General features: G+C 45.0%; 1 protein-coding gene and 1 pseudogene across 35 annotated transcripts in view, besides 1 other annotated feature; both read right to left on the reverse strand.

Annotated features, from left to right (window-relative positions):
* Positions 1-23,251, reverse strand: part of SLC39A11 (solute carrier family 39 member 11) — a 446,740-nt gene that overhangs the window by 408,901 nt on the left and 14,588 nt on the right. The window contains exon 2 of one of the 35 annotated variants that reach the window (XM_017024333.2): positions 18,818-18,986. The exons of the other annotated variants lie outside the window; for them this stretch is intronic. The gene's annotated coding sequence lies outside the window, so the exon portion shown is untranslated. The remainder of the gene's footprint in view (positions 1-18,817; positions 18,987-23,251) is intronic. 35 annotated transcript variants of the gene reach the window in all.
* Positions 12,696-13,452, reverse strand: ATG12P1 (autophagy related 12 pseudogene 1; annotated as a pseudogene).
* Positions 13,521-13,815: an enhancer, noted in NCBI's record as "tiled region #7306; HepG2 Activating DNase unmatched - State 1:Tss". NCBI's record gives its function as "activates a minimal TATA promoter and a strong SV40 promoter by Sharpr-MPRA in HepG2 cells {active_cell/tissue: HepG2}" and the evidence as "EXISTENCE:reporter gene assay evidence [ECO:0000049][PMID:27701403]".

The raw sequence follows: 23,251 nt of genomic DNA on the forward strand, positions 1-23,251 counted from the left end.
AGCTGCAGATGCTTATCAAGGGGCTTATCAATCCCATCGTGGAGGGGGCTCAGAAATTAAGAAGCAAAAAAATCTCCTTAAGAAACAAAGACTCGATGACAAGGATCTGGAAGGGATCAGGGTCCAGAAGAGAAGGGCAGAGCAAGTGAACCCCAAGGGCTTTGGGAGCCAGGTCCATGATGAGGTCATATGCTGGAGTAAATGACAAGCAAACTCTCCCTTCACCAGCTGTCAACAATGCACCTCCCAATCCAACCTGCATGATGCCAGGAGTGTCCCTGTCCCAAGCCAGTTGGCTGCTGGCTGTCTCTGGAAGAGAAGGGCTCTTCTGGGGAGTCGAGGGGGGATATGAAATGAATTCCCGTTAGAGTGCTCCACATTCATTCATGCGTGACATTGGGGTGGGGCAGAGGGGAGTTCATGCACATATTTGGGCACATTAAGGCTCTCAAAGGAAGCAGAGGTCCACAGGAGGTAGGACCTGTTTAAGCCTGAGGATGTCTGCACAATTGAGTCTCACCCGGCAACTGCAACCTGGCCTGGGACATAGACTAACTGAAAGCCTAGCTTAGGAGTACACTTTTTTTTCTTTTTTTTTTTTAGAGAGGGTCTCACTCAGTTGCCCAGGCTGGAGTGCAGTGGTACAATCACAGCTCACTGCAGCCTCAACCTCCCGGGCTCAAGCAATCCTCTCACCTCACCCTCCCGATTAGCTAGGACGACAGGCACATTGCCACCATGGCTGGATAATTTGTGTATGTAGAAATGAGGGAAGGCGGGTAGGGGGCGAGGGGCAGGGGTGGAGGGGAGCGGAGACCTCCCTATGTTGCCCAGGTTGGTCTTGAACTCCTGGGCTCAAACGATTCTCCTGCCTCAACCTCTGAAAGTGCTGGGATTAGTAAGCCACCAAATCTTAATCAATCATAGCAGCTGAGCGTCAGTCAATCATAGGCAGCCAGCTGGTTCAAATAAGGCAAAACACCAGGCTGTAACCAATTAGGCTATCTCTGTGCAGCCCTTCCATCTTCTGTCCATAAATGTCCCCTGACCACGTTGCAGCCCTGGGCTTCTCAAGCCATTCCGGTTCTGTGGGCTGCCTGATTTTTGAATCGTAAATAAAGGTCAATTAAGATCTTTAAATTTGCTGTAATTGTCTTTCTGATACTTTTGGTGCCCACTATGGGGCACAGAGGACACTGCTGGCAACTCCCAAGGCCCCTGGAGGGCACAGGAGAGGCACCGCTGGCCCCGTGAGGTCCCATCTTCCCCACAGAGCCCCGAGGGTGGTGAATGCCTCTCAGATTGGACTCTGGTTTTTTGTTTGTTTGTTTTTTTTTGAGACGGAGTCTCGCTCTGTCACCCAGGCTGGAGTACAGTGGAATAATCTTGGCTCAATGTAACCTCCACCTCCCTGGTTCAAGCAATTCTCCTGCCTCAGCCTCCCGAGTAGCTGGGACTATAGGCGCCATCCACCATGCCTAGCTAATTTTTGTATTTTTAGTGGAGACGGGGTTTCACCATGTTGGCCAGGCTGGTCTGGAACTCCTGACCTCAAGTGATCCACCCGCCTCGGCCTCCCAAAATGCTGAGTTTACAGGCATGAGCCACCGCACCCGGCTGGACTCTGCTCTTTTTACATTGAGTCCCTGATCTTTTTTTGGCTTTTGCATCCAGGATTAGATTGTGCTGGATGAGAGCACGTGAGCTTCTGGGATCTGTGGTGGCTGGCAAGTCACTGGCAAAAGTCAAAGTCATGACAAAGACGGGACTGAGTCCTGTAGGGAGGCCTCAGGTGCCTGCCTGGGTCAAACAAGCTGGCTTGGATCTGGTAGGTGGGGAAGGTTACGAGAAGACAGGGAGTCATGGGTTCACCTGGATCCAAGGGGTCTCCATGAATCTATCCTCCTATCTACTCCTCTAACTGGAACTCCTGCCAATTTCATGTACAAGAACTATGAACCCAGAACCTGTGCTTTTCTAGAGAAAGAGAGAACTTTACCAAGAAGACTTACAGTGGCCACAGTGGGGAAGCTTTAAACTATATTTAATTTTTATTTGTGAGGCACATTAGAAAAGGAAGAATCAAAACACCCCAAAAAACAATGGGATGCATTTTTTTTCTTTTCCTGAGACACAGTCTTGCTCTGTCACCAAGGCTGGAGTGCAGCGGTATGATTTCAACTCACTGCAACCTCTGCCTCCTGAGCTCAATTGATCCTCCCTGCCTCAGCCTCCTGAGTACAGGCACCTGCAACCATGCCCAGTTAATTTTTTGTGGGAGATGTATATACATGTATATCAAGATGGGGTTTCGCCATGTTGTCCAGGCTGGTCTTGAACTCCTGGGCTCAAGCCACGCACCCGCCTTGTCCTCCCAAAGTGCTGGGATTACAGCAGGGGCCGCTGCACCTGGCCAGGATGCACTTTTAACTGGTTTGCAGGGGCATCTAAATGATTAAATGAATCAAACATTGCCTCTTTTAATAGATTCTTTATAAAAGGCAAATAGAAAGCTTAAGTGACTCATTGATGAGAAAAAATATTTTATGTTGACTGACAATTCTGACCGCACCTTTTCTCTATCTTTCTATCCTCCTCTGCCTAGTCTGAATTTACTTTTTCTCTTAGTAACCTTCCAATCTTAAAAACAAAAACAAATAAAAGTGATTTATAAAAGTTAAGCTCTCAGATCAACGAGGTCTGCTTCTTTAGCCACTTTTATGGTTTGGTGAAAATCTTAAATTCAGCCCTGTTCATAATGGGTTTCCACCTGAATTCAGTAATCTAGTTAGAAAATGCAGGCTGAGGCCAGGCGCGGTGGCTCACGCCTGTAATCCTAGCACTTTGGGAGGCCGAGGCGGGCAGATCACTTGAGGTCAGGAGTACGAGACCAGCCTGGCGAACATGGTGAAACCCTGTCTCTACAAAAATACGAAAATTAGCCGGGAACATTGGTAGGTGCCTGTAGTCCCAGCTACTTGGGAGGCTGACGCACAAGAATCGCTTGAACCCCAGAGATGGAGGTTGCAGTGAGCCAAGATCGTGCCACTGCACTCCAGCCTGGGGGACAGAGCAAGACTCTATCTCCAAAAAAAGAAAACACAGGCTGGCTTGGGAAGCTGCCTATCTTTAGTTATTTTAGTTATTTCGTTTTAGACTCTTTTTTTTTTTTTTTTTTGTAAAAGAAATTTACTTCTGTGGGAAAAGTCTCCATTTGTGGGGTGTGTCCCTCTTTGCACCCTAAATCACTAGAAACTTTCAAAATGGAGAAGGTCAAGACTTAACTTTGTTTCACAGGCCTTGCCTTTCACCATTTTGTCTTCACCAGGCTTGCGTGTTTGTTTGTCTTGGCAAATAATACTATTTTGGCCTGAAATCTGGTTATCAGGCTAGCTGACAATCCCTGGGGGCAATAATGAGTAATCGAAGTGTCCTCTGATTTAACCCCCTTGCTAGAATGAAAACAGTCGGGGGATAAAGAAAATATCCGCAGAGTAAATGCGGAAAAGATAGATAGGTCCTTGGAAGAATGGATGATGGGCCAGCTGGGGTGGCCTTCTGATCTCGTCTCCTGTGATAGGAGTTAATCTTGGCCGGGTGCAGTGGCTGACATATGTAACCCCAGCACTTTTGCAGGCCCAGACGGGCAGATCACCTGAGGTCAGGAGTTTGAGACCAGCCTGGCCAACATGGCGAAACCCCCTCTCTACTAAAAATACAACAATTAGCCAGGCATGGTAGCAGGCACCTGTAATACCAGCTCCTAGGGAGAAAGAGGCAAGAGAATTGCTTGAACCTGGGAGGTGGAGGTTGCAGTGAGTCGAGATCGCACCACTGCACTCCAGCCTGGCTGACAGAGCGAAACTCTGTCTCAAAAAAATAAAAAAGGGTTAATCTTCAGAAGACTGACGCAGTTGAGTTCCTTTTGTAGGATCTGTCTTTTGGCAGATGAAAGAGAACTCAGGAGGCCTTGCCCTGTGTTTTGCCTTCAACTCAAAGTAATTAATATACCAAAAATGTGACTACCAAAGCAACACATTTTGGGGTGGCATTCCCTGAATGCTTTCAATGGCTAGTTTTGTTTAGTGAGCAATTAAATAATAACTGTTAAAAAAAAAAGAATAAATTAGGTGAATATGGACAGCATAAAAGTTTATAAATGAATTTGTCATTGTTTCAAAAATCTTTTGCAGCAATTTGGAATTTTAAAGTAATAGATATTTATAAAATGTCTGAGTCATTTCTTAGTTAAAATACTAGAACATTAACTGCTAAACATAAGTTTCAAGTATAAATACTTTGGCATCTTGGTTTTGTACAATATAGAGAAGCTGAATATATTTGGGTTTGTTCATAAACATGAAAACATTGTTCTAGGAGGAAGCACATATTTCTAGAAATTACAAATGTATATTCATGAAATGTTAGTATATAACAGTTTAAAATTGTTTTACTTCTTATGTTTTCACTAGAAATTGAGGTTAGTAACAGTTTAAAATTCTAATCAATATAAGCTAGTGAAAACTGGAAATAAGCCCAGGCATAGTGGCTCACGCCTGTAATCCCAGCACTTTGGGGAGGCTGAGGCAGGCAGATCACCTGAGGTCAGGAGTTCGAGACCAGCCTGACCAACACGGTGAACCCCTGTCTCCACAAAAAATACAAAAATTAGCCGGGCATGGGGGCGGCTGCCACCTCAGGAGGCTGAGACAGGAGAATCACTTGAACCTGGGAAGCTGAGGTTACAGTAAGCCGAGATCGCGCCATTGCACTCCAGCCTGGGCGACAAGACTGAAACTGTCTCCAAAAAAAAAAAAAAACTGGAAATAATATGGGAAACAACTCCATATGCAAGGAAAAAAAAGATATGTTTTTGTTAAGTGAAGCTATGAGGTATGAAATATGTGTCTTTGTTAAGGAAAAAAAGAGTAATTTTCACCCTAACGTAGAATGACAGGTTGCCCCAAAATGAGAAAGAGGGAAGGTATAGATAGGATAAATAAAAAACTGATGGAATATAAGAAGGTTGTAGGAGGTTTGTGGACGGTGAATCATGTGAAAGAAATTTTATTGTGATCAGCAGGGCGTGGTGACTCACCCCTGTAATCCCAGCACTTTGGGAGGCTGAGGCAGGTGGATCACCTGAGGTCAGGAGTTCAAGACCAGCCTGGCCAACATGGTGAAACCTGTCTGTACTAAAAATACAAAAATCGGCCAAGCATGGTGGTGGGTGCCTGTAATCCCAGCTACCTGGGAGGCTAAGGCAGGAGAATTCGCCTGAAGCCGGGAGGCAGAAGTTGCAGTGAGCCGAGATCACGCCACTGCACTCCAGCCTGGGCAACAAGAATGAAACTCCATCTCAAAAAAAAAAAAAAAAAAAAGAAAGAAAAAAGAAAAAAAAAGAAAACAAGGTAAAAAAAAAAAAGTTGGGGGGTTTCTTTACCTTTTAGGAAACTGGCAAAGGAAATGAAGACTGCGTTCTACCAAAATAACTTTTTGTCCTTCACGTTGTCTTTATCAGGTTTTTGATAACTATAGAAAACTATTAAAGAGCTAAGGTTTTTCCTCCAAATATGTTGCTTTTTATATTCACCTTTGAAGTCTTTATCACTCTGGTTAAATTAATGACTATTATTTCATAGTTACTTGTGATCCCATTTTGATGAAATGTTTTAAACCTTGGTGATATTTAAACCAAAATCAAACTCTAAATTTAGTCTTTCTGACCAAGAATTAACTTTGGGATTCTCTTGCTGGGCCCTGAGAAAGCCTCAAAGGATACATCTCTCACCTTGTAAAGGGGAGATATTATACGAATTAGGCTTATTTAGTATACTAAATTATATGGGAAGTACTGTCAAATAATAAGTAATGCTGAACCTTCTTTGAATTTTACTCATATGTGTTCTAGAAAATTGTTTACAATTTTTAGAAATTTGATACGTGATCAGCCATAATTTCAGTTATTATGTTAAATGGTTGTATTCCACAGAAACAACTAAATTTCCTTGTCAATTGTGTCATTATTGAATGAAATTTCAACAGCTCTTTAACCATGGACATTTTAAGTCCTGTCACTCACAGACGGTTGTTTGCTCGGTACTTTCCTAAGCAACTATAAGCCTATATAGTTTTGTCTTCAAGGAGGCTCACGGAAAAGATTCTGACAAGTACAGGTTTGTGATTACTTTAAGATCGTATCATTAAACTGGGTAAGAATTCTCAGAACTCACCGAGCGTGGTGGCTCATGCCTGTAATCCCAGCACTTTGGGAGGCCAAGGCAGGCAGATCCCAAGGTCAGGAGTTCGAGACCAACCTGGCCAACATGGTGAAACCCCGTCTCTACTGAAAATACAAAAATTAGCCGGGAGTGGTAGCAGGTACCTGTAGTCCCAGCTACTCAGGAGACTGAGGCCAGAGAACCGTTTCAACCCAGAAGGCAGAGGTTGCAGTGAGCTGAGATTGCACCACTGCACTCCAGCTTGGGCAACAGGGCAAGACTCTGTCTCAAGGAAAAAAAAATTCTCAGAACTCGTATGAAGAAACTCACTGGTTCATAAAACTGTTAACCCACCATCAAAAGAACAAGAATTACTTAAATGCTAAGTCAGATTTTCATGCTAAGTCAGTTGATTGTGAAATTGTTAAGATATAGAAGCTGAATGAACTCCCTAAGATTTATCCAAGTCAAATCACCTATGATGACCTATTCATTGGACAGGGTTATGCATCTTAATTGGAGAAATAAAACTTGTACTTGAAAGGATGTAAATTCAACATTAAGCGTAGACTCATAGAGGGCTTAGACAACTACTTGGTCTTTTCTGAGTCCTTAAAGCTTCCATTATTAAAAGTTCTGTGCAGGCTGGGCAAGTGGCTCATGCCTACAATCTCAGCACTTTGGGAGGCCAAGGCGAGTGAATTGCTTCTGCTCAGGAGTTCAAGACTAGCCTAGGCAACATGGTGAAACCCCATCTCTACAAAAAAACACGAAAATTAGCCGGGTGTAGTGGCCCAAGCCTGTGGTCCCAGCTACTCAGGGGGCTAAGGTGGGAGGATCACTTGAGACCAAGAGGTCAATGCTGCAGTGACCTCGTGTGATCACGTCACTGCACTCCAGCCTGGGTGACAGACTGAAACCCTGCCTCAAAACAAAACAAAAAAAATCCTCTGTTCCATGACTCTTCATACCACAGACAAAATGAAACAAATTATGGAAAAATAATGGTGTGGCGACTGTTCTAGAATTACTAGGATGGTTTGTAACCAGTGAGTGCTTAGTTTGTCAAACTCATAATCCTGGAAAGACAATCAAAACTTCAGATGAGGCCGGGCGCAGTAGTTCATACCTGTAATCCCAGCACTTTGGGAGGCTTAGGCAGGCAGATCACATGAGCTCACAAGTTCGAGACCACCCTGGGCAACATAGCAAAACCCCATCTCTATAAAAAAAAATACAAAAATTGGGTGTAGTGATGCATGCCTGTAGTCCCAGCTACTTGGGAGGCAGAGGTAGGAGGATGGCTTCCACTTGGGAGGCAGAGGAGGTTACAGTGAGCTAAGATTGCACCACTGCACTCTAGCCTGGGTGATAGTGCCAGAGCTTGTCTCAAAAAAAAAAAAAAAAACTTTAGGTGATACACTTCTGCTACCTGATAGGCCATTTGAACATCTACAGAGGGATTTCATTAAATTGCCACCTTCAATAGGATATCAGTATGTCTTGCAACAGTTTGCATGTTTCCTGGTTGGATAGAAACTTTCCATGTAGAAAAGCTAATGCTATGACAGTAGCAAGGAAGTTATTACAAAATTTATTTCCTTTATGGCAGTGGTCTCCAACCTTTTTGGCACCAGGGACTGGTTTCGTGGAAGACAGTTTTTCCACGGATTGGGGGTGGGGGATGGTTTTGGGATGACACTGTTCCACCTCAAATCATCAGGCGTTAGAGTCTCATAAGGAGACCGTAACCTAGATCCCTTGCACGTGCAGTTCACCATAGGAGTTGTGCTCCTGTGAGAATCTAATTCTGCTGCTGATCTGACAGGAGGAGTTCAGGAGGTAATGAGAGCAATGGAGAGTGGCTGCAAATACAGATGAAGCTTTGCTCACTCACCCGCCACTCACCTCCTGCTGTGTGGCCCAGTTCCTAACAGGCCACAGACCAGTAAGTCTTGGGGGCCTGCTGGGGGTTGGGGGCCCCTGCTTGAGGAGACATCCCTGTCAAAATCTCTAGTGACACAGGAATCCATTTGGACAAATTATAAAAGAGTTAAAATGTTAGAAGCACAAGGTACTAGCATTGTCTCTATCACCCTCAGTCTTTTGGAAAGATAAAAATGACAAAAGGCATTTTTAAAAATGAATTTGACGAAGGTAACTGAATCAATTGGATTGACTTGGCCAAAGGTACTACCGTTAGCACTAATGGCAATCAGATCCATTCTCACTGGGATATACAGATTGACCCCTTATGAAATAATTACTGGAAGGCCTACGCTGCTAATAGAACCTCATGTATCTTTCACTCTTATAAACTCTAATATAATTAAATGCTGCAAGACTTTAACGAATTGTGTCAAAATGTATTTTCAGAGGGTAAAAGAAGCTTTTCAAGGCCAGGTGCAGTGGCGCGTGCCTGTAATCCCAGCTACTCTAAAGGCTGAGGCAGGAGAATCACTTGAACCCGGGAGGCAGAGGTTGCAATGAGCCGAGATCGTGTCACTGCACTCCAGCCTGGGTAACAGAGCAAGGCTCATCTCAAAAAAAAAATTAAAATTAAAATTAAAAATAAAACCTATGGCCACAAGATTATTGCAAGGGTCAGATGAGGTAACGGATGAGAAAGTGCTTCAAAAAGTATAAAGCAATAAACCAATGTCACATAATAATATTTGGGGCTCCTGAGCCCATAAGATGCAAGTGTTCGCTGCCATCAGCCCATGGATACTCTCCCCCACACAGAAATCTTCATGCATAATTACAAAGTGTTCAGCAAATTCACGTCTGTAATCTGTTTAAAGTTTATGCACAGGCAATGACCGTGTGTCCCTTCCTCCATCTTAAATACAATACTAATCTGGTTTCCCCTTGTTTATGCATTTAACAGGTATCTAATTTTTCCACACTCCTGGAGAACTAACTCATTTAGCTCCAGGGCTGTCTTGGTTGATTTCTCTACAAGAAGACCAGCGCCTCAGAAATTGACAGAGGTTTCCAAAGAAATGCTACAGCAAAAAAAAAAGGAAATAAAAAAAAGAAAGAAAACCTACGCACTGGTCGGTGTGAAGCCTCCCCTTCATCTGTGTGTCAGACACACAATTCTCACCATCGGGCCTGATGGTTCCATTTGGTTTGCTGTTCAGTGAGTCTGCAGAAACCAAGCACTGTGGCTCATGGCCCTGAGCCAAAGTCAGATGTGGGATTAGAAGCCAGGGCACAGTGGCAGCAAAGATCAGCTTCCACCAACAAGCTATTAAAAAAGTTTCTCTCCCTGGTATTTTGTTCTTTCTTTTCTCCGGAGGGCACAGAAGCATTAAACAGTCATGACTGAATTTATCCTCCCACCATTTGCACAAAATGGGAGGGAAAGGATTTCAGTCTCTGTGGAGCCTTGAGATGCCTGGAGGTTAAAGGACTTGTGGCTAATCCTGAGGACTCTAAGCAGCTCAGCTAGAAATACAACCTAGGGCTCCAGACTCCCCATCTGTGCTGAAACACTCTCTTTATTACTGTGTAGGATGGAGTTCTGCTTCCTGGCCTCAGCTGCCCAGAGAGGAGGTCCCCCCTCTAAGGAAAGCAGCAGTATTGCAAAGGTGCTCACAGGGACTCCTAAGGTCATATTCCTTAGGGTGGGAGCCACCAGGGAAGGGAAGTGGAATGAGGCCAAGAAAACTCCTTGATCCATCCGGCATCCAACCCTGTAGCCAGCAAACCTCTCCAGGCCCTGGGAAAAGCAGAGAGCAAGGATTCTCAGCCCATAATGTCAGCTCCTCTGGTCTCCGTGCTTCTCTTCTCACCATACTTGGCAGAGGGGGGATAGGGGAAAAAACACAGTTTGGCACTGTATCCCCCTACTCTGCCCCATACCCCTGCCTGAGGAACACCAAGACAGGGCTTCCCCTTTCTCCCTCCTGCTCTCAGTCAAAGTGTCTTTATAGCCATAAATTAAATTTATAAAATGAGACAGAGTCTCCCCAGCAAAGGGGGAAAGAGATTGATTCCTGATTGTGGAAGAGAATTATTATTGGGTCCTTAAAAAAACAAAAAGAGGCCAGGCTCAGTGGCTCACGTCTGTAATCCCAGCACTTTGGGAGGCTGAGGCTGGCAGATCACTTGAGGTCAGGAGTTCGAGACCAGCCTGGCCAAAATGGTGAAACCTCGTCTCTACTAAAAATACAAAAATTAGTTGGGCGTGGTGGCAGGCGCCTGTGATCCCAGCTACTCGGGAGGCTGAGGCAGGAGAATCGCTTGAACCTGGGAGGCAGAGGTTGCAGTGAGCTGAGATCGCACCACTACATTCCAGCCTGGGCAACAGAGCGAGACTCCAGCTCAAAAAATAAAATAAAAATAAACCAATAAAGGTAATACAAGAGCAGGTTAACAAAATCAAGTCATGCTGAAGCTTAGAATATAAAAAAGTTCTCTCTTCCCTGCCTCTTCCAATTCCACAGCCTGGACACACCTGTTCTCAGGAGGTCAGGAATCCTTCCCCCGAGCAAAAAGATTCTGAAGATATTAAGTTACTGTCAGCCATAGAATGTCACCTCACCCAACAGCTAATTCTTGCTTCCAGAATAACACAGCCCTTGGACTGAGAGTTTAGCTCAAATCCTTTCCTCTCAGCAGATCCAGAACACCTACAACTGATCTGGGCCCACAAAGGTTTTACTTCTCTGCCGCTTACAAACAGAGAACACATTAGGCTTAACTGGGGCTTCAAATTTTTTCCACCAATGTTTAAGTTAGTAAACTGAATAGACACTTAGAAAGCCAGCATTTCTTCTCACTGGATGGGAGTTGGTGCCCAAAGGGAGGCTCAGAGGCAGGACGGAGAAAACAAGACAAAGGGGAAGCCCAGTGTCGGGATCAAGTGACAGCTGAGAATGGCCACAATGAAGGCACCTGGCACCAAAAAAGGAATACTGATTCTGGAAGGATGGACTGTGAACAGGTGTCATCTCTCCAAAGGAGAGGTGGTAGACAGCAAAGCATGGCCATGATATTTTGTAAGCTCCGCCTACTGAGAACTAGAGACTAGAGAAACAGACTCTCCGGTTTCCACCTTCACCTTCTTGGAGCTCTTCCACTGCCATGTAAAGAAGCCTAGGCTACACTACTGAACCATGAGCAACCACATGGAGAGGCCCAGGCAAAAGGCAACAAACACCAAGGCCCCAGACCTGAGTGAGGCCCTTATACTCTCCAGTCTAGTGGAACTGCCAAATGACCGCGGCCTCATGAGTGACCCCAGGCAAGACCAGCAGAAGAAGCACCCAGCTGAGCCCAGCAACCTAGAACCAGGGGAAATAAATTGTTGTCTTAAGCTACTAAGTTTTGAGGTGTTTTCTAACCATACTCCACATTTACAGTCTGTTAACTACCCAACATCCATTACACCTCCTTGGCAAAAACACCTTAATTTGCTTTTGAGGAATCACTTTTCCCTCCATTATTCATCCTTATTATCTTTGTTATTTACTCTAATGGTGGGAGGAGGGAGAACAGGACACATGGCCCAGGCTTGGCCATTAATACACTACATCCCCTGGCAACATACATTAGTATTCAGGGATGAGCACACATCCTGCTCAAGTTTCATGGGCCAGGAGTAACTGGCCTGTCATGGGAAACAGCCTGAAAGTGGAGCCACACAGGGAAAAGCAGGACCAGGAGATGGAGAAAAACCAGGTGCTGGTGACATCCTTTGATCCACAGAGTCTAGCAGTGCCCAGACACCAGTTCTACTCCTGGATATTTTAATTGCATAGACCAATACATTTTATTTCTTCTTTATGCCAGATTGAGTTAGGTTTTCTATCATTCATGATCCCAAAAGTCCTAGCTAATACAAAGAGACTAAGGGACTTATTTTTATCGTATATCCTTTGTACTACTTGAATTTCTTACCAAGTTCATGTATTACTTCTTCCTTTCAAATGAAACTAAAGAAAGAAAGAACTCATTTTAAAAGCAACATACAAAATATACACCAAGAAGGTAAATCAATAACAGAATGAAGACTAAAAGTTCTCTCCGCACTAGGCTGTGTGGCCACAAGAGTGCTGAGTGCCTGCTCCAGTTTCCGTCTGCCCTCTCTTTCAGTAATAGAATATCAACATTTAGCTGGGCAAGCTGCTGCATAGCTAAAAGAACATGTGTCGCAGCATTCCTTGCAGCTACCTTAGGTCATATGAATAAGTTGTGGCCAATGAAATGTAAGTGGACCTGCTGTGCAGGACTTTCAGGGAATCTACCTCCCTCCTGCCACTTTGTAGCATGGAAGGCAGATGTGATGACTTGAGCTCCAGCAACTACCTTGGGTCAGAAAGACAAAGGCTGCCCTCTTGGGCAAAGCAGTGAGCCAAAAAGGAGTCTAGATCCCTGCTGACTCCATGAACCTATTTTCCCAGCCATGGTCTCTAGATTTCTTCTACAGAAGAGGGGTCTTTCTTGTTTTTTGTTTTTTCTTTTTTTTGAGAACTGGCAATGAAGACGCTTATACAGTCTTAGTCTCCTTTTCAACCTTGGAAGCAGATCTGCAGCAATAATAGTAACAAGCAGGAGCAATGGGGGTACTATAATGACCATCTTTTATGATGACTGGCGTATTAATACAAATCACATTTTTTTGAGTCCATTCATGCTATGGATGTTTTCTTATGCATAAACATAGAGTAGACACGTACTGAATAGATCACATCTGTTAAGTCTCTTGCCACAAGCATCACAACTTTTCAGAGCTGTCTCTTCTGTGAAAATCCATTTAATGTAGCAAGTTGATTTTCTTTGTGGTTCATCCCCATGCCTGAGACTTGCAGTAATGTAAAACCAGTTTACCATCACTGCCAAAACACTCAGAGAGAGTTCCAACTTCTTGGTCTGGGGAAGGAGCAAAGGACTGATTCACATAAATAAACAACTGTTCTGAGGCCACAAGTTTAAGAAACTTTTTGATGAAGTCAATGAGTCCTTGGATGGTTCATGTTCGCTCTACTGCCCACTTCTTTGTTTTCATAATAGGAGTATCTCCCACAGCCTTTAGCAAAATGTCAATTTTTTTCTTGGTGTCGCCAGCAGGTTCCTCTGTTCCCGGAGAAACTGCAGTGGAAGACGGGGGCTCCAGAGTGGTTGTTTCTGGGGAGACCTCCGTAAGTCCTTCCCCTCCAGTAGCACTTGAGGGAGGAAGCTGCAACATGGACTGCGGCTCCTCCACCATCTTGCTTGGAGAGACTCCGGGGTCTTTCTTGTTTTAGCCACTATGTTTCAGGTCTCAATTATTCTCAGTCAAATCTAATCCTCATAGATATGGATCACCAAAAGCAGAGAAGCAGGAAACATCACCACCAGTACAACTAGCTGTAGGTGTCTGGTTGCCATGGAGACCACCCCAACACATGCAGATTCCAAAGTACAAACTCACTCAAACAAGACAGACCTGATGTAAGTAAGCCTAAGAGACCCCTGGCCTCCTCATTTCCGGTAGAGTCCCCCTCAGTCCATAAGGCAGAACGGTGATGCCAAACCCTTTAACAGCCCCAGGGCAGTTGGCCCCAGACACACAGTTCCTGTTGTAAGCTTGAACAGCTTTGCTTGACTACTTTCACAATCAAAGGACTGCCAAGTCCTCTAGACTCTCCAGCAGGACTGTCTCTCACACTTCCTATCTCCTATGCCTCTGTCCAAAGTCAAAACCTCATTATTACCTTTCACCTAAGTGCAAGAACCTCCATCCTGTTTCTCAACTGCCAGCCTCCCCCTGTGCACACGCATGGCCAGTCCATCTGCTACCAACAGAATGTATTTCTTAAAAGCACAGCTCTGATCCTGTCCCCTTCTCAAAAACGTCTCCAGAAACTTCCCCATCAACCTAGAGAACAGAGCACAACTCCTTTCTAAGGAACTATAGGTTGATCACGTACGGGCCTCAACCTACCTCTCTGGCATCACCTCCCAACCAAACGAATAACTATGTTGCCAACAGCCCTGTATTTTCCACTCTTATGCTTCCAATTTTCTGTTCCCTCTGCCTGTAACGCATTTCCTTCCCCTACCCCGTCTTCCCCACTCCCATCCTTACTTGTCAAAACTCAACCTATCCCTCCCACCCAAGCTCATCCATGAAGAAGTCCTAATTCCCCAACTAGAAGTAACCTCCCTGTCACTGAGTTTCCAGCACCTTTTGTTCATTACGTTCTTAACAACCACATGCTGACCCGCCTCATAATGACAGGCAAATGTGACTTCTCTCCCCAGCCGACCTTGAGCTCCTTGCAGGGAGGGATTATATCTTGCTTCTTTGCCTGCTCTCCCACAATGCCTTACACATAGTAAGTGCTCACTAAATGGTTGAGGGCTTGGCCTGAAGACAATTCTCTCCCTGCTCCCACATTCTGAGCAGCTGTTCTCCAAAGAAAGAAACAAATGGTTATTCTGCAAACAGAACACGTTTGGGCCAACTCTAAAATTACACAGGCCCTTGACAAAGCTTTGATTACTGGCTCTTCTCCCCTTTTATGAGCAAGCCACTGCTAAAAAGCAATAATATGCAATCCAACCGCAGCCTCTCCACAAAGCACTTGTGTTAATAATCTGTGTATGGATTTGGTCTTGACATGCAAGGGCTAAAGGACAAAACTTAACCAATATTAACTTTGATCCTTTGCACTCAGGGTATCTTTCAAAAGAATTGATACTCAGTAAGTGCTTTTTCATGTGGTTGGTACTAAGATGCATAAGAAAAATGATGTCAGCTACTCCCTATTATTTAAATTGCAGCAGAAGACATTTAGATCAGATAAGTTTCTAACAAGCTAGCTAAACACTCAATTAGGTTACAAAAAAAAAGTATAAAGTCTTGCTTCACAAATATCTTTGGGAACAATCTCTACTCCTACCATCTGTCTGGATTCAATGAAGTATTGGCCCGTCTGATGGCAGAGGGCTGCCTGAGATGACTCCCACAAGTCTCTGCCAGCCTGAGATTTTTCAGACATAGTATGTGATCCAACAGGCACTGTGCATCAAGAGAGAATTCAAACTCAAGCTCAAACTTTCCAAGCAGGAAAGATCCTGCCTGCCCTCTTTCTTTTATGAGAGCCAAGGAGCCAGGCCCAGAGGACAGGCCCGAGTTCCCAGCTGCAGGCTGACCAGTATCCCATGACCGACTGGAAAATGAACCTGAAAGTATGACAAATGCCCCCAACCCAGGCTGGTAACAAGATCAGCAGTCTTGAGAACCAACACTAATGTCAAGTATGAGCCTTCCATAGACAGGGCTGCAGCTAGACACCAGAGGTGACAGCCTCCTCCCAGGCTTCCCTCATCCAAGCTCCAGGGCCCCATTCTTTATGTCCAGAGCTCTTCTGACTGTGACCTGAACCCTAAGCATTAACTCAGTTGAATTCTTAGCCTCAAAGTTACATGGAGCCTTTGAAGGGAGTCTGCTTTTTCCAAACACCAGCTCATCCTTCATTAAACCATGATCCCGATTAGAACAGGGGTTCCCGGCTTTGGCTGCACATCACAGTCACCTGGTGATATGGTTTGGCTGTGTCCCCACCCAAACCTTATCTTCAATTGTAGCTTCCACAATTCCCACATGTTGTGGGAGGGACCCGGTGGGAGGTAATTAAATCATGAGGGCGGGCCTTTCCCATGCTCTTCTCATGATAGTAAGTCTCATGAGATCTGATGGTTTTATAAAGGAGAGTTTCCCTGCACAAGCTCTCTTCTCTTGTCTGCCGCCATGTCAGACATGCCTTTCACTTTCTGCCATGATTGTGAGGCCCCTCCAGGCACGTGGAATTGTGAGTCCATTACATCTCTTTTGTAAATTGCCCAGTCTCCCGTATGTCTTTATCAGCAGCATGAAAATGAACTAATACACCTAGGGAGCTCTAAAAATTACTGGTGCCTTATCCTAGGGTCCCTCCACCCCCCAACCTCAGAGATTCTGGGGTAGTTAATCCAGGGTATGTTCAAGGCATTGGGGTTTTTTAAAGCTCTCTAGGTGATTCTAATGTGCAGCCAGGGTGGAGAAACAATGCAACAGAATGAAGAGAACTTCCCCAAAGCCAGAGAACTCTTTGGAAGTGAACCATCAAGGACATGAGGCCAAGTTAGCTTACTCTGCTAGACTACAGATGCTAGCGACTGTTACAAATTTGAGTGCTGCTTGAGCTAGCTTTCCCTCACAATCTCAAATTGCACACTTTTGGCTTGGCCATCTGTCTTGAAACCTGTTTCCTTTGTGACAAGAAGAATGGAGCAAAAGGGCCCAGATAACTCATCACACTTCACTTGCAAAGCCAGCCCCTGAAGATTCTTCAAAGGCAAAAGTTGAGCAAAGGAAGAGCTGCTGCAGCACAGAGCTCCTAAATGAAGAGCAAGCCCTGTTTGGGAGGGTCCACCACAAAGTGGTGATGTGGTGATCCCCTGGAAATCAGCCAGTTGGGAACACTGGACATTCCAGAGAGCATTCCTCCAGCACAGTGGTCCCGATGGTTCTTGCTCAAGCAGTCCACTGTCACCAGACCTCAGAAAACCGTGTCATAAACATTGCATCAGGGGCCAGCAGACTTCTTCTCTACAGGGCCAGATAGTAAATATTTTAGGCTTTGGGGCCACAGAGTCCTGTTGAAGCTATTCAACTCTGCCACTGTAGTCCAAAAGCAATCACATGCAATATTTCTGCAAATAGGAATGGCTGTGTTCCAACAAATCTTTATTTACAAAAACAGGCAGCAGGCCGAATTTAAGGCACCCATGTACTTTGCCCACCTCTCCGCTAAAACACAACTTCCTTACACACACAGGCCATCTCCCATCACTTCTTCAAACCCCTGGCACTCGGCACAGTGACTGCAATAGAGCAAGTTCTCAATAAATGCTAAACAAACGAAAGAACGAATGAATAAAAAATGAGCCGACTACCCTAAAGGAATATCTATTAAACATCTACCTTTTCCTATAGAGCAACTAATAAGAGTCACTGCAACTTCAGAGCACTTACCCCTGACTATTTAAACTGAATCTCTAGGCCCTTATTAACCTTCTGCCCATCAATCACATATACTCATTCCCGCCCTCTCCTTCATAGGAACAGGGAAGGATGCCCCCAAACAAAGAGGAAGATCTTCCCGGGGGAATGCTGTGGCCCTATCAATACAGAGGCCCAGGCCTGCAGGGAAACACAGAAGGGTAGGAGGGGAGGCAGGGGCGCCAGATACTCACTCACGCAGTCAGAGTATGAACGTGGGGAGGAAGGGGGAAAGGGATGGGGACAGACAGGGACTGTTTGCAGGGCTCTGGGCAGGCCTCAGAGCCACACCACCCCAGATGCTCAACAGAGCAACAGCATACACGTGGGCTCATGCGTCAAGACAAAGGCTGTTACTTCCCATCACGGCACAGAGAAGGTGATGTGTATCACTTCCTCCCCCACACTGTGGATAATGACATTGGAAATCTGAAGCATGAAACCGAAAAGAAAAAATACAAAAATAATCATCATCATCCGTCTCCTTCCTGAGTGTTTTGCTACCCTTTCTTCTTCCTTCCTTCCCCACTTTGTGCCACCCCCTCTTCTTGAAGCAAGACTTTGTCTTCCTCCCAGAGGAATCGGGAGTCAGGGAGCCTCAAGCCCACAAAAACCACTAGTGTTTGGGGGCTGGGAGTGCCAGGCCAACAGTCAGGCTTGTCTCCCAAAATATGTTCACGGTCTCCTGTCCGTGCCTCATGTGGTTTGAGAATGTTCACCTTTGCCAATGCACAGCGGTTTTCTTGTTGGAAACTGACCATCTGAGGTCTTTAAAAATAAAATGCTGGCTGGGCGCAGTGGCCCACGCCTGTAATCCCAGCACTTTGGGAGGCCAAGGTGGGTGGATCACTTGTGGTCAGGAGTTCAAGACCAGCCTGGCCAACATGGTGAAACTCCATCTCTACTAAAAATACAAAAATTAGCTGGACGTGGTGGCAGGCGTCTGTAAGCCCAGCTACTCGGGAGGCCAAGGCACAAGAATTTCTTGAACCCAGGAGGTGGAGGCTGCAGTGAGCCAAGATTGTGCCACTGCACTCCAGCCTGGGTGACGGAGTGGGACTCCACCCCAAAAATAAAATAAAATAAAATGCCAACTCCTCATCACATAAACTCTAAGGGTCCCAATACCCCAATTATGAGAGTGTGGAGTGCCAGTGTCTTGTAGCATTGCTATGCAGGAAGCAACACGTCAGAAGGCAGTGGGTGCCCCATAGCACCTGTGCCATGGACCCGGCAACCACGCTGTGAATAATGGTTAGAGAGGGACCCTCCCCCATGTCCTCTTCAGGCACCAGGCCACACTGGGCTTGTCAAATGGGGCATCTGGGGCAGGTAGCTCAAGGTCCTACCAAACCAACCCTGTTACACTGTCTCACCTCTTTGTTGAGTGCCCACCCAGAAGGCAGCCGTAGCCCTAAGATAGACAAAAGGCACCTCCCTTGTTATTGCGTACCAGTGCAGAACAAGCAAACCTGCAAAGAATAGAACCTTGGAGGCCCTGGGGCTCCCCAACTCCCTAAATCCTTAAAAAGCAAATTTAAGAGAGGAGCTTCACCGTAGACAACTGTCCCAAAACTTCCAAGGTCAGGCCTAGGAAGTCAGGCCTGAGTGATGCTGGGGACGGATCTGCTCTTGGTCCAAGCACTCTCTGGCTCTCTCCTTTATCCCTGGGAGGTCACCATCCCAGGGAGGTCATCTCAGGGTCTTTCATTTCTCCCAGCCTCCTAAAGAGAAAAACCATAGCTCAGAGTGACAGCAATGATCTTTGCAGGAGCCTCCTCAGAGTCCATGAGCCTATTCCTTGCATATGGTCTTGTGGTGCTTTGGTTGTGGCCCAGCCCATCTCAGTGTGGTCCAACACCCCTCACATTCCAATTCCATAAAATATCTCCAAGAAAACATATCAGGCTTCCCTACCTCTCAGGCAGTAAGATGGAAAAAAAAAAAAAGGTAGCAGCAATTATTAATTTCTCAATCCAGGATCTATAGAGGATTTAATTATTGAGAAATATTAATAATTGAGAAATTATTAATTTCTCAATCCAGGATCTAAAAGCTAGGATTTCCAAAGACCCTGAATTCAATGACTGCTCCCTCCCCTGGACTTTCCCTCAATCATATTTACTCTAGAATAAACCTTTCCAGGGGCCCTCCTGAAATATCCCTGACTTCATGCTACAATTATTCCCCCCACCCCCCGCCCCAAGACAGAGTCTTGCTCTGTCACCCAGGCTGGAGTGCAGTGGTGCAATCTTGGCTCACTGCAACTTCCGCCTCCTGGGTTCAAGCAATTCTCCTGCCTCAGCCTCCCGAGTAGCTGGGATTAAATGCGCCCACCACCACGCCCGGCTAATTTTTTGTATTTTTAGTAGAGACAGGGTTTCACCATGTTGGCCAGGCTGGTCTCGAACTCCTGGCCTCGTGATCCACCCACCTCGGCTTCCCAAAGTGCCGGGATTACAGGTGTGAGCCACCGTACCCAGCCATGCTACAATTTAAGTCCATTTCTTTCCATCCAGCTCTCTTTGGAAATAGAGAACAGCTGGTCACTATCATTCCTCCAGACTCAAGCCATCACTGGAGAGCATCATTAACTTCCAACAGTGAGCCAGTTATTTGGAAAAAACATTATGCACCACTTGCTGCACAAAAGCAGACTTAGCCAAAACCTCCTTAATAAAATCATGTCTTTCATAAGAAACCAGCTCCCTAAGGGATGAAATAATAGATATTAAATTGCCTTTTCACGCCTAGAAGTAAGTTTCTTGATTGGTAAGACTGTCTTTCTCTTCTGCAGCTTCATGATCCTATTATTCCTTATAAGTGCTTCTTCCTTGATAGAATATGCACTGATACAGAGATTCCTAGTTGGTTCAAGACTTGCCAAAGAGACACAGCAGACCCACAGCAAATAAAATTAAAATGGTGATCCCCGATGTTTCAGCCACTCCAAATTCATCCAGATGTCTTTTGGGACAATGACTGCCTTCTCACTCACATGAAAAGGATATTCAACTGCATGCTTAATTTTACCACTGAATCATATCCCTAAGCAGGTGAACTAAAATCCAACTGAAACACTTCACAATTACAATGAAAAGATGTTTGCCAACCTGTGCTGCAACTTGTCCCTTTAAACATGCAGAAACAAGAAGCTCTTAATGAACCATCCGTTCCAACGTCCTCATTTCTCAGCAGAGTCAACTGAGGCCCAGGAAGACCAATGAGCTTGCCCGAGGTCACTCTGCCAAATACTGGCAGCCCCTGACATCTTATCTGGGTTTCATCCTACCTCCGCCATTATCTAGCAATTTTCAATTCTAAATAAGACATTTACTCTCCCCAGACTTGTTTCTTGTCTGTAAACAAAGGCAGCTGGACCAGACATCAGCTCAGAGGCATTGTGGTATAAGAGTGTAAATTCTACAGTCAGACTATGGGTTCAAATCCTGGATATGAGGCCGGGCGCAGTGGCTCACGCCTATAATCTCAGCACTTTGGGAGGCCAAGGTGGGTGGATCACCTGAGGTAAGGAGTTTGAGACCAGCCTGGCCAACATGGCGAAACTCCATCTCTACTAAAAATACAAACATTAGCTAGGCGTGGTGGTGGGTGCCTGTAATCACAGCTACTAGGGAGGCTGAGGCAGGAGAATCACTTGAGCCCTGGAGGCAGAGGTTGCAGTCAGCTGACATCACGCCACTGTACTCTAGCCTGGGTGACAGAGTGAGACTCTATCTCAAAAAAATCCCAGATCTGCTCACCATGTGATACTGAATTTATTTAAACTCACTGTCCCTGTAAAGTGGGGAGGAATAATAGTAACTGGTATATACCTCAAAGAGTCATTCTTATAAAATTAAATTAGTTGATCTAGGTAGAGTGTTTGGCAGAACACCTTGTACACAGTAAGGACTCAATAAATATTAGGTATTCTAATCACCTAAAATCTTTTCCACCCTTTAAGTTATATTACTCTAGGATCCTGAGAGGGAATAATGACTTTTTTTAATGGTAACCACTCTCCTATTAAGTTCATGCCTCAGGCAAAAAAAAAAAAAGTCAAGGCTAGACACAAGTGCTGATGAGAGAAAGACAATGATTACTAGAGACTTGGAGAGTAATTTAAGGAGTCAGGAGAAAAATAGGCAAATAAATTCCAAAATGAGACATTAAGAAAAAATGATTAACACTTCCAGGGCCCTGCTAATGAGAAAAAACAACTTGCGAAATATATTTTTGCTAAGCATATTTAAAATACACATGTCCTCTGTCCCTGGAATCTCTTACAGAAACACCTATTTTGGTGAACAATTATATATTGTATAAATATGTCACTGCAGCATTATATTACAGATGTATTGCAATGTACGCACAACAAATACATAAATGTATACAAACCAACTGTAACAGCATGCTACAGTGCTGTGTAGACATCTGTGCAAGGTACAATGGGACCCCGGTCAACTATCTTATAGCCAGTTTTGTCTTTTTCAAGACATATATTCAAAGCATCTCAGAACTGGGCTGAGGGAGCAAAGCCTTTACGATACCACACAGGATGGCACATTTCACTGACCTGACACTCACTACGTGTGCCTAATACAATTTCTCCAAGGATACAGACTCAGGATTGACAGTAGTGACCTAGGAGAAGTAAGGGGAAGAGGCAAGGGGACTTTCTTTTTTTCTTTTTTTTTTTTTTTTACATCTGAATTTTTCCACATTCTACTCTCTGGCTGATACAACAAATTCTCTAGACCCGGGTTTCTCAGCCTTGGCATGACTGGCACTTGGGGCTGGAGAGTCCTTTGTAGTTGTGATGCCTCGTGCCCTGTGTGTTGCAGGATGTTAAGTAGCATCCCTGGCCTCTACCCACTAGATACCCACGTGGCAAATGTGCTAAATGCCACCTGGAGGGCAACATTGCCCTCGGTTAAGAGTTACTGCCCCAGCCAATGTGTTGGCCTTATTAAATGTAATTTATTCCATGATATAAGCACAAGCCACTGTGACTGCCCAGGCCACCTGGGCCATACTGCCTTTCCCTAGTTCAGGGAAACATGTATGAGAATCCACTTTGAGTTGTTAAAATCCCCTGGGTTTGAGTCCCAACTGTCTCCCATATGATGTTCTGACATTCCCTATGCATCTGGGGACCCACCAGGAGTTTCTTTGTGCAACTACCTCATATTCAAGAACAATGTTTGTTATTGTTGTTTTGGGAGTGGGTTTCACTCCTATTGCCCAGGCTGGAGTGCAATGGCACGATCTTGGCTCACTGCAGCCTCTGCCTCCCAGGCTCGAGCAATTCTCCTGCCTTAGCCTCTCAACTAGCTGAGATTACAGGCGCATGCCACCATGCCTGGCTAATTTTTGGTTTTCTTTTGTTTTTTGACAGAGACAGGGTTTCTCCATGTTGTCCAGACTGGTCTCAAACTCCTGAGCTCAAGTGATCCGCCTGCCTCCGCCTCCCAAAGTGCTGGGATTATAGGTGTGAGATATCGCATCTGGCTCAAGGACAATTTTAGAAAAGTAAATCATTTCTTTCTGATAAATACACACACATAATCTTTAGAGTCTCTTTCTTTCTACCGACTACTTTAAAAGTCAGAAGTACAACTATCTGAGCTCCTCATTCGTGATAACACACTGGCCTTGTGATTTTTTTTAAGGAAATTACATCTTAAATGTTCATGTTTTCATGCTCCCAAATTCATTCTTCATGTCCTGAAAACTTCTTACACTCTATCTGGTTTTGTTGGTTTGTTTCCTTTCTTGTTTTATTTTGGTTTTTGTCTTTTGCTATGTGAATCTTACAATAGCTTCTGATCTAAAAGAGTAACCTAGGGCACAGTGGCTCACGCCTGTAATCCCAGCACTTTGGGAGGCTGAGGTGGGTGGATCACAAGGTCAGGAGATCGAGACCATCCTGGCTAACATGGTGAAACCCCGTCTCTACTAAAAATACAAAAAATTAGCCGGGTGT

Source organism: Homo sapiens, chromosome 17 (assembly GCF_000001405.40).
Source record: "Homo sapiens chromosome 17, GRCh38.p14 Primary Assembly".
NCBI lineage: Eukaryota > Metazoa > Chordata > Mammalia > Primates > Hominidae > Homo > Homo sapiens.